Below are 12051 nucleotides of genomic sequence, written 5' to 3'. Positions count from 1 at the left end.
AGGCACACACAAGCTGGTAAGGCCTCCTGGCAGCAGGAAGGGAGGAGGGGCCCCTGCAGCAGCCTGGCATGGCACGCCAAGCTGCTGACTGTTCTTGGCAATTGCCAGTGAGGAGGTTAAAATGAGGCATCCATGCAGGTCTTTTCTTCAACAATTCCTCCAAATTAGAAACTCAATGATAGCAACAGATCAGAGAAGTTTGCTTAATGGGAAACTTTTCACTCCACTCATCTTGCAAAAGAGAATTTTGAATCAACAACAAAGGGCTGTAACACTGACATAAAATGACCCTCCGTGAACATCAGTACGTTAGGAAGTGCAGAGTGTAGATGACCTGGCACGTACTCAGAGTTCAGCTTCTGTTAGTTTGGAAGCTAAAGCTCATACCGTCTTTAACGCAACCAAGCAACAGTGAGTCAAGACATCCAGGGTAGGTTCAGAGAATGAGCTGTTCAGCCTAAACCTACGTAATATTCTGTGGGTGATCGAAAAAAAATATATATATATATGTGAACACTGTTTAACCTAACTGAAATAATTTAAATGAACTTAGCTCTAAATCCAGAATTCACTCCTATAAAAAGTGACATTAAAAGTGACTGAATAAGTCTCTGAAGGACAGAAATCTGTCCTTTCAGGAATGACTCGAGTGGTCACTGTTTTGAACTGGCTCAAACATCACTCTACATGAATCCGAATACATCAGCCACTGGTCCACTTGCTAGAAGAACTGCGAGTGACCAAGCACCACAGGAATTTGCCAAGACTTAGGAAGACTCACTAGGTAGAGGGCGAGGCACTGTGATCGCTCTGGTTATCTCATACGAGCAGGGAAAATGCATGACTACTCATCGAGAACTTTTACTGCAGATGTGATTTTACAGACGGGTGATTTGGGTGGCATCTTCAGAAACTGAATAGAGATGTGGCCCTCGGTAGCCTGCAGACCCGACTGTCACCCCCTTATAAATGGGAGAGGCATTCTAGAAGAGGTAGTGTTTGAGGAAGAGTGGAGTTTTAGATCTTTCTTTCCTGATTTTTAAAATCACTCCCTTTGGAGTGGTCACAATGACAAAACATCCCTACAACAGCCAAACTTCTGCTACAAACAGAAGTTACACTGGAAGGCTTTTGGTCCCAGGACAGTCTGCAGAGTAATATTTCGGCTGGACTCCTGCTGCCTCCCAAAGTCTTTATTTCATTGAGTCCTGTCAATGAAATAAACTAGTGTGAAACTCAAGAAATGAACTAGTATTCAAATAAAGACTGCACTGTGACTACCAAGTGGAACATAGCTCATCAAATGCTGCTTCCTAAACTCCCTATCATGTTATAATGGAAATAATTAAAGTTTAACGATTACTCTTAAGGTGGTTATTATGTTGGATAAGAGTTTTCTGAGGTCTGCAGGAAGAGATGATAAAGGGAGTGAAAGTTCACTTCTGGTCCATTAATTGAAAAATCAATCAATGGGGAAATCATAAAAAATTGACACGTACCTAACTTAAACATGTTATTTTAATTTGAATCGCATGAATTGAAATCTCCCATTTGAATGATTTCAAGTTAGGGCAGCCTTTAGAGGTGAGGCCCAGACGTTTTCTTTGAATGTGGCACCCCCACTACAGTTTCAAATGATCTGCCATGAGCCACACCAATTTTCCTGTCTTTAAAGTGGAGCAAAGTCCTGTGGCAGAATCTGAGATCAGAATCCTTCTGAATCCATACTTGACCTGTCTCTACCTTTTTCATTGAATATTTTGTGGTACCCCACTCTTTCCAAAGCACTGAATCCACAGCAATGACTATCTTCTCATGCCTCAGTGGTTTGCATGACATTCAATAATCACATCATTTCAATAGTGAGTACTAATTGTATAAACAGGTCCAGGAACAAATCTAGCATCCTCTTGGTAAGCATGAACCTTGAGAAGTAAGGACAGAGAGTCACAGGACAAAGACAGAGAAGCCAGTTAGTTAAGGGTCCCAGCATCATGGGTGCACCACTTATGTCGTGAAAGGACAGGGCCATATGGTTAATCTAGCACATCAGCTAAGAGGGCTTATGTAATCCTATCTGACTACCAAGCACTGGTCTGTGTGATTCTGCCCTGGTGGCTGAGAGTTGCTGATACACAGGGTCACTTCCCTCAGGGTCCCACTGAGCAAAGAGAAAGGGGAGGGTGAGCAATGGGGATTGAGCTGGATGACCTCGCAGCTTGCGGTCAGTTCTGTGAGTCACCCCCAAATGTCAGAAGCTTAAGAATAGAAGTTTCTTCGGTAGAAAAGTGTTCAGAACCCAGTGAGTTCCTTGGGCAGGAGGAGTCACCTATTCAGGTGACTCAGTAGCAGTGTACATGGGTGGCCACAGCATCTCGGAAGTATAGACTCCAAGTGAGCCAGAGGGTGTCTCCAAATTTCAAAGGCTTTACAAATCTACATCCATGTCTTGTTCTCCCATGCAAACTTACAGCCAAGTCCTCCTTGAATTCCTGCATATGAATCTGTAGAAACACAATTCCAGCAGCAGGGGAAAGTATAGCTCAGGTTACAGTCCTTGCTGTCAGATCAAAGCCTGGCTCTTAGTTGCAAGGACCTGAATCCGGGAGTTCAGGAACTTTCCTGTGAGTCCCTACACCACCATTACAACCCACTTCTCCATATGCACCATGGGATGCCTGGAACACCCCGGGATTGGGTAGCTTAAAGGAATTTCAAAATAAATCTTAAAATGTCACATGACTGTGGTTGTCCCAGAGGCTTGAGAACACGTGGGGCCATCACAGCTGCCAGTGTTCACACATTGTAATGTCATACCCTGCTTTCTGGAAGGCCAAAAGCCCTGGAGGGAAATGAATTTGACCCTGCCTGTCTTGCATTTAAACACCACTTTTCACTCGAAACCCAATTACCCTCTCCGAGCAGCATAGCTATCCACCGTGTTTCCAGTAATGCCTGGCCCAGGGAGATGAAAAGGATACTGTGTTCAAGACCCGGCTGCCTGGGGCTTTAGCACCACAGGCCTGTAATAAATGGGTACCTTTGCCATGGGAGGCGGTACATATTTCTCTGTGAAAAATAATTCTGTCATGGAAATATAGAGGACTAGGGAAAAGCATCAAAAGGACAAACGGTCTTGATGCAATTTCAAGGCGGGGGGAAAACCACCAGTACGACAAGCGAAAGGTGAGAAACATCAGCCCGTGAGAGCCTGCCGCGTACCTGCAAGGTTAGGGCTGAGCTTCTCTGCCCTCTCTCTTGGGTGGGGTGTCTGTTCAGTCTCCAGGTCCTCTGGGGTTGCACTAAGGGATCATCAAGGTCCCTTCCAGATCTGAAATCCCAGGAGCTGCTTTTTACAATTATGCAAGGGATGTAACTATGGGTTTCAAGAGACTGCACAGAAGGGTAAAAGTGTGGAGAGTCACAAGGCATTCCTCAGCTGAAAAACACCTCTCCCTTATTGGCAAATCTATTGACTCAGAGCTGAGTAACACTTCTTCGGCAGAGGATTGATGGGCTTCCTCCTAGACCACTGAAACCCCAAGTACCAAACGTGATCTTTCTGACAAATTTTGAGATGGTTGACACAGCTACATCTTTTTCTAAGATGACAGACATCCCTTCGGTTGTGATGCAGACCGACTGTGCTACTCTAATTAAAACCATCTCAGCATGAAAGAAGATTAAAAGAGATTCCAGTTTCCGTTTTCTTTAGGAAAACTTTTCTGGCTTATCTTCCATATTTCTTGTCAAAATATGCCGTAATTATTTCAGAAAATGTTTTGTGGATAAATTACTAATATAATCTTTGCTCATAAGCAGCTGAAATTTCTTCTCTCCAGCCCTATTTTGGTAATTCTTTTGTCGGACTAATCTGATGAGTCACACCACGGATGATTCAGCTTTTGTTCGGATGTGGTTTCAGAAAGGAACAATGAAACATCATCGGCAAACCAGCCATTCTCTCCTTCGCTGAAATGGTTAATTTGTAACATAGTACTGCGACAAAATGGCCTGAATTCTAATGTGTACATTTTCATGAAAATAACATGGACCAACTGCAATCCAAGGGCTTTTGGAGATGAAAGCAAGATTTAAAACATAACAGGAATTCTGACTCAGATTCATTAAACAGCATCTCTCCCAGAATTTAGAATCTTCTCGTCAAGTGGTAGAATTCCTACCATCAGTTGCAAGCCCTGAGTGACCACATCCTCCCGGAGCACGCTGTGTCTGCTTCATTTCTGGATCATCACAGCCACCACACAAAGTGGCCTCAAGTGACACTAATAATTCTGCAGTGGATCAATGAGTGGGCTTGGAACCTGACTGGATGGGAACGCCACAAGGCTCCACACCACTTGTCTGACATCAGAGAGGGGGAGCTTGTGAAACGCATTGCTGTGTACTCCATGCTTTCACTGTTTGATATGATCCATGATGGTCAAGGACAGGTGGAATTTTTTTTTTTTTTTTTTTTTTTTTTTTTGAGACAGAGTCTCACTCTGTTGCCCAGGCTGGAGTGCAGTGGTGCAATCTCGGCTCACTGCACCCTCCTCCTCCTGGGTTGAAGCAATTCTTCTGCCTCAGCCTCCCGAGTAGCTGGGACTACGTGCGCGCACCGCCAATCCTGGCTAATTTTTGTATTTTTAGTAGAGATGGGGTTTCACCATATTGGCCAGGCTGTTCTCAAACTCCTGACCTCATGATCCACCCGCCTCGACTTCCCAAAGTGCTAGGATTACAGGCATGAGCCACCGTGCCCAGACAAGGACAGGTGGAATTTTAAACAACCACTTTGATAAAAATGCCTTAGCCCTTTCCATTTGGGGTCCTAAAGGGTATTAATTGAACAGGTGTTTTTCAAGGGACCTCCTAAGGACAAGTTCTGCACCAGGCCCTGGGAGACTGGGAGGAGTGTGAAGCTGCTGAAGACACCTCCATGCATGCCCCTTACCCTGGGACCCCGGGATGAGGGTAAGGACAGAGCTCTGGCGAGAGAGAGCCCTCTGTATGGAAGGTGAGAGCCACAGGTGCAAGGACGTAAAAGGCAGGCGAGGAGGAGGTGAAGGAAGCCAGGGTGCCCGACCTGGCAAAGCAGACTCCAAAGAAAACAAGATAATCGTGGAGGGAGGCCAGGTTAGGGAGGATTTGGATGGCCTCTCTAGAGCCCTCCAGGCTACGGCGTTAGGAACAACTGGCAGGAACTAGGAGGACAAACAGCCAGGGCACCCCCAAGGATGGATGGGAAACCTCGCGACCCGTGAACACTCCCCCTTAGACAGGCTGGAGAACATCCCAGTCCACCACAATCCTTGACGGCTTCTCAAGTAGGAAGCTCCAAAAGAAGGCAAGTTCCTTCCCCAAATGACTGGAGGATTTCAGGAAAGATGAGGAAAATATCTAACATTATGAGACTGAATGAAGAATTCACAAAAGTGATGGGTTGTATTTTCTCACATCATTCTTGGTAATGTATTACAACACCAATAAGACCACAAAACAGAGGGTGCAAAGAGTTCTAGATAAAATCACGCACACTGGCACTTCACTGATTCCGAGTGTATTGCAAAAAGAAAGCTGGTCAGGATAGTGCACGATCAAGACAGCCGGCAGAACCGGGCACCTCCTGACTAATGGAGACCTATTGTTAAGAGTGGTAATTGCATTTGTATGCAGAATCCGTGCCAATTCCAGCCTGTCCGGAGCCCACTTGGAGTGGAGTCTCTGCAGCCTTTGTCATTCAGCGATTATCTCTTCATGGAAGTGCCCTTTCCAGCCCTGCTTCAATGACCACCACTTGTGCATATTAAGTTCTTTAGCAGCATGAACTGAGGTGGGGGAAATTCGCCTTTTGCCTAATGTTTAGTGCTCTGTTCTTAGTATTTATGGTGAGTGACAGGGTAGGAAGATGAGAGAAAGGAATCCCTGGATAACACCTTACATACACAATGTTATTCTGGGGTAAGGAAATACTTTTGTTTAATGAAGTCAGGAAAAAAGAATGATTCTGACAGATCTCTAAATTCTTCTTGAAAATTCCCAAAGCTAATAATCCAAGTTTTTTCTTTTCTATTTGAAATCCAAAAATATATTATTTATGTCCCTCGAATATGTACGGATTTAGGTTTAGTCATTTTTACTAATGTTTAGCAATGCCTTAATTCTCTTATTTAGATGCTAGGAAACTTGTTACAGCCATTAACTGTAACTAAAACTGATTACCCATCTCAACATATTATTTGTGAAACAATTAGTTAAAATTTATTAGCAGAGAAAGGCTAATTATACTGATAGTCCCAGCCTTTGGTTATACCCCAAGGTCAAAGTTAAGGAGGCATTTACCAATGTCCAAAACAGCATGAGGGGACTACGCTGTCAGTTTCATGGGAAGATAAAGATAATTCATGTTTAGATGAGTATGGAGATTTTTCTGGGGGTAAATACGGGACGCAGTCCTGGCCACGATGTCTAGGGCTGGGTCGTATGAAATTCCATGGGGAATAGAGTGACTAGGGAATTCAGGGTGCGGGGTCCCCAGGGCAGGTTCTTCCTCACAGATAGGCGTCTTGAAAGAACCTGTTTGAGAAGGGACCTCCTGCAGGAATGCACAGGCTGACGTTTAGACCGGTCACTGGTGACACCAGATGACACACACAAGCAGCTAATGGTTTCCGTGTGTGATGAGAACTATCACTGCTACGTTTAGTGGAGATGATGCTCTCAATGGGTATCAGGATGGAGTGGGAGCTCCTGACCACATCTAGAAACCAGGGTTCCGGGCTGGTGGCCCAGGGAGGCAGGGTGGCTTTGTAGCCTTCACACCAACACTGGGAGCCCGGGACGTCACCCATGTCTCTAGACAGACGCACTCCCATCTTCAAAAGGAGACAGGCAGGCAAGGTGATGGCCCTGGGTCATGGGATCCCACTCAGGGTTGGGTTGGCCACGAGGGACTCACAGCAACCAGCTTAGAACAGGAGGACAACAGCCCTGTGTCATCTCCTTTTCAAGGCAGTTATAACACAGTTTCTGTCAAAAGTTGGAAAACTGGCTGTTCTTCACTGAGGTCAGGAACAGCAGTGTTCTGCAGGCTACGTCTCAGAAAGGACTGACTCCTCTGATTATCATGACTCGTCTTCCTGGCTTCCTAGGGGGATGGCATAAGATATGCTTCATAGACATGTGGCGGTGCTGTTAGTCATGGGGTGTCTTTCCTCATGGAGAACTTACGATGGGCAGAGGCAATCCAAATGACTTGGGTCTGCCTCTGCTCCTCGGTGGCACTATTTTATGGGATGCCAGGTTCTCTGACCCCTGTGCATCTGACCTGCCCTCAGACCCAGGCACCTAGATGAGGCTCAGGACCCAGAGCCGCAGGTGCACTCCAGAGAGTGCCACAGGTAAGATGGGCACCTAGGATGAGCTTCAGTCAAGCAAGTTCTCCAGTATGGTCACGGAAAACATCCAAGATGCATTTGGAAAGCTCAGCTCATCGTCTAACTCTAACTTTGGATCCTTCATAGTAAAATATACAGCTAGGATATCTGGCTAATGCTTTTTTAAAAAAACTATAATCATAATTTCTTGTTCATAGTATACCAGGAAAAGGGGACAGATCTTACAGTTTGAGTGTTACTATCATGGATTAGCCATTTATTCTGGTATTTGAAGCCCTACAGTGATACCATAAACATTGATTAATGCACCTACCATGTAAAATAGTGGTAAAGGAAGGATACAAAGTTACGGTGAATCATTTCTATATTTAAAGTGTTGAAAAGCCAGTTAACTACAAACCACTGATATTTTAAACTATTAGGATGAGATCCATATATATTTAATGTAGGTATATAATATAGAAATAGTATATAACAAATTCTATAGACAGAATAAATAGAATTATACAAATGTATAAATTTTAAATGAAAACAGAAAATAGGGCGGCAGCACTTTGCTGAGATTAGAAGTGAGGGGATTTGGTTCAGTTCATCAGTTTATTGTAATTCAACAAACAAATAGAGCAGGTTCAGAGCCAGCACTGTGCTAAATGCACTGCAGACAAAAGATGAATTAAACATGGTCCATCCTTCAATGAGTTCACAGACCTGGGGGAAGACAGCTACGATCCCACAGGAGACAGGCTCTCATGGAAACCTAGAGACAATGCTGCCAGAGCAGTAACTCATCCCAGAGGTGTGTGGATGAGGCAGGGGGGAGGGTGGACTTTGTTATTCTAGAAAATCCACAGAAAGAAGGAGTGACGTGTGACCTAGGTTTTGAAGGATAAGCAGGGATTTGAGAAGGAGTTTGCCAGTTTTCCTAAGGTGACTCTGGTAACTGGAGAGGGAGAGAATACAGAGAGTGAGGGAGACTAAGCTGTTTCAATGGCCAAGGAGGAAACTGCTGGAGTTCTGGACTAGAGCAGTGGAAGGTGGGCGGAGAGGAAGGACACCGGGTGTTCTGAGGGTAAATCCACTCGACCCAGGGATGCTGAGGCAGGAGGAGCAAGTTGAGCTTGATTCCAGGGTCTGCAGTCATCCAGGGAGATGAATGGGGGCTGCAGGCTGAGTCTGGAAGGACAGAGATGCAGGCTGGGGGAAAGATCTGGTTCTGGACATGCTGGATTTCCAGTGCCCCTCAGATATGCACACGGAGATGTGTTCAGAAGAGAACAACAAATATTTGGGGTCCTGGTTCTTCTATTGCCTGGCGAGGTGGCCAGGGTCACATCCATAAACCAAGGCCCAGAAAGGACTTGCCTGAATTCACCTCCCATGCAAGGGGGAGAGCCAGGCCTGGGATCCAGATCCCAACTTTTAGTTTCCTCTGGACAATGCTGGTGTTGCCCATGGCACTCACATAAAACCGGCCAAGTTGGCGCCAATGTCAGTTGACATAAATTGTTGTGCTTTGGGGACATGGCTGGTCCTACCCAAAGCTACACAATAAAAGCCAGCCCACATCCTGGTGCACCTGCCCTCCTGGGCCCAGGCCTTGTTCCAGGAGACTGCTGTGAGAAGTGGGAGCACATCTCAGCCATCACTTCACAGCCAAGCAAGCTCAGGTCCCCAAGGTGAGGTGATTTATCCACAGTGGTAGAGCCTGAGTCAGCACAGAGCCACGGTTAGCACTGGGGAAGACTCTGAGATCTAATTCAAAGAGAATTAAAGGCAGAGGCCTCTGACCTGCTGGCCACCGAGCCACATGGCCCTGTCGAGGCTAGAGACCCCAAAGACAAAGGGTTTTCTTCCCTTCCAGAAAGCAAGCTCCGGGGCACCAGATTGTCCTGCTTTTAACTCTTAACTGTTACACATGGACGACTGCAGAAGGCAACTTTAAAAATGTGTTCCTCTTAAATTATCTTGAGGATTCAGTGACAGCTTGCTAAAGAAACTGTGGCAGGGCCTGAGTATTTATAGGAGCATGAGACAAACAGAGAATAAGCTGGAGAAGCAAGAAGGATGCCGCTCTGCAAAATCACATGCGGCAGCGGGGAGAAGTGTTACTACAAAGCCTAGCACAGTCTCTGGGAAGAAAATAAAGCTTAGGTGCAGGCTGGAGAGCAGCCTGAGATGTAGGGCAGATTCTTCTTTCTTTGGAAATGTACAGAATAATCATGTTGTAAGAAAGTCCCCACACTTAAAACTTTCATTTTGAAAAGGGAAAGACCAACCAAGAAATTAAATCTACTCTCAGTTGCTTTAATCATGCATCACAGGGACTTGCCAAGAGCACAGCGAGGGCGACACAGCCCCAGGGCACAGAGTGTTTGGGTGGATGGTTCCCTTATCTGGAGGGAGAATGGAGGTGCAGGCAGCGAGAGGGCTACAAAGGTAAATCCCTACAGTCCCCAGGAATTCGTGTCTTGTCAATATCCCCAGCCATCCAGGGATCTTCCCTTCTCACCCAGCAAAATCTACAGCCTGTGTTTGACTCAGGTGTTTATAGGACAGAACACCCCGCACAGGTAAGGCTGGCCTGGCTCCAGCTGCTTCAGACTCATGCTTTGAATCTCAAGAATCAGGACTTTTTCCAGGCTGCTGCTCCTCCCCAGGAGTAAGAATTCCTCATGACATGGACACTCCCCTGCCCATGCTTTACAAACACCAGATCCCTCCAGCAGGAGGGCAGCAGCACCACCTGCAGCCTCCTGCCTCCTGAGCTGCTGGAGAGTGAGGCCTGGGAGGTTGCAAGGGGACTGTGCAAAGCCACAGCCAGAGTCCTCAGAAACCACAACAAGGTTTGGAGCCCCGGCTTCCCACGTGCCCGTGTGGCTGTAGAATGAGCCCCTGCACTGGAGCCGCCCTGGGAAAGCAGGTGCACACAGCACGTCTGGTGGCCTGGGACCGTGATGGTGCTCAGAACAAACATCACCCAGAAAACATCCAGCTAGACCTCCACCTGCTGTCCACAGGCAAGTGAAAAGGGGACAAAGTAACTCTCACGCTCCCCTTAGCACAGCGACTGTGGTAGCTGGTCACTCACAAGCAGACCCTGCTGGCCCCACCCATTCTATCCAAGATCTTACTGTAGAATCCTAGAAGACGGAAAGGAGGGGACCGTGGCATGGGAGCCAGGCTCCAAAAAGATCCTGGAGTATGTCTTGCAGAAAATGTTTCAGGATCTTCGATAAGTTCTGATAGAATAGAACCAGGCCACAGACTCCATCTGGAGTGGTTCTGACAATGCCTCCAGGCAGAGCCCTATTTGTCTGTGGCAAGGAAGGGGTCTCATTGTGGGAGGACACAGGGGAGGACACAACATAATTTTTGGCCAAAACAAAGCAGTCCAGGGCAACTGGGACTAAAAGTGAGGTAGAATTTGCTTTTTTTTTTTTTTTGTTTTAAAGACAAAGTCTCACTCTGTCACCCAGGGTGGAGTGCAGTGGCACGATCTCAACTCACTGCAACCTCCACCTCCCGAGTAGCTGGGATTACAGACATGCACCATCACACCCAGCTAAACTTTATATTTTTAGTACAGATGGGGTTTCACCATGTTGGCCAGACTGGTCTTGAACTCCTGATCTCAAGTGATCCGCCCACCTCGGCCTCCCAAAGTGCTAGGATTACAGGCATGAGCCACCGTGCCTGGCCAGAATTTGCCTTTTAAGACTCTGTTCTCATTCATTAATTCTAGCAATATTACGTAGGCAACTGCTAGGACCCAGCCCCTGCTATAGTTGCTGGAAACAGAAAGAGGATGACCGCATGGCATCTCTGATTATGGTGCCTGCATTCGAGAAGATGCATTTAGGAAGATGAAGGCAAGTAATATGGGAACGAATAATTATCTGTGGTTAGTGCAAAAACAAATAAGACAGGATGGATTGGGCAACATTTGGGAAGGTGGTCAGACAACAAGGAGGTTATGTGGACCTGAGAAACAGTGGGCCAAGGAATGCCAGCCATGCCATGAGCCCAGAAAGGCGTTTCAGGTGGGGAGAAAGTGATAATCATGAAGCTGGCAGCACCGGACAAAGATGTGGCCCCAGGTAGGGCAACCAACACTCCCACCACAGGTCTGCCGGGCAGCAGGAAGGGGAAGCTGAAGCAAGAGCCATGGGCCCTCCACCAGGCAGGCCCCCAGGCACTATCTGAACAAGCCGCTGTCTCAAATACAGAGGGAGGTCTGTGTGCAGGGCAGTCCCAGTGCCCTGGAACATCTACCGGCAGCTTTTCTCCAAGTCCACTACTCTAACCAGAAGAGCAGGTGTTGCTGCCTTTTGATCCATTTAGCTATTAAGACTAAAGGGACCTTTGTTCGATGTCAGCCAGAGTTGGCCAGACCGTTAACCTTCTGATGCTGCCTCCTCCAGTCAGGTTTCTGCTTCAGACTCAACCCAGAGACTCGGTGTGTCAAACTCAACCCAGAGACTTGGTGTGTCAAACTCAACCGAGAGACTTGGTGTGCTTCCCCAAGAAAAGTCCTTGAGCAGGAAGCAGTGTCCAGAACAATGCACATTATTCCTTCACACCTCTGCACACGTTGCCTGGCTGGTGCACGGGCGTCATCCCACACGCAGATCCACTGCAACTCACATGTGAC

General features: G+C 46.8%; 2 protein-coding genes across 32 annotated transcripts in view, besides 1 other annotated feature; one reads left to right on the top strand and one right to left on the bottom strand.

The window, feature by feature from the left end:
- Positions 1–12051, bottom strand: part of DOCK1 (dedicator of cytokinesis 1) — a 547089-nt gene that overhangs the window by 299997 nt on the left and 235041 nt on the right. The gene's annotated exons all lie outside the window — the stretch shown is intronic.
- The window catches only part of INSYN2A (inhibitory synaptic factor 2A), a 61162-nt gene that overhangs the window by 44072 nt on the left and 5039 nt on the right, over positions 1–12051 (top strand). The gene's annotated exons all lie outside the window — the stretch shown is intronic.
- Positions 3098–4297: an enhancer, noted in NCBI's record as "CDK7 strongly-dependent group 2 enhancer chr10:128946487-128947686 (GRCh37/hg19 assembly coordinates)". NCBI's record gives its function as "activates an origin of replication core promoter dependent on BRD2, BRD4, P300/CBP, MED14 and CDK7 cofactors, with strong dependence on CDK7, by STARR-seq in HCT116 cells {active_cell/tissue: HCT116}" and the evidence as "EXISTENCE:reporter gene assay evidence [ECO:0000049][PMID:35650434]".

This window comes from Homo sapiens, chromosome 10 (genome assembly GCF_000001405.40).
Source record: "Homo sapiens chromosome 10, GRCh38.p14 Primary Assembly".
NCBI classification, from domain to species: domain Eukaryota; kingdom Metazoa; phylum Chordata; class Mammalia; order Primates; family Hominidae; genus Homo; species Homo sapiens.
The sequence above is the reverse complement of the archived record's forward strand: the minus strand, read 5'-3'. Positions and strand labels throughout refer to the sequence as shown.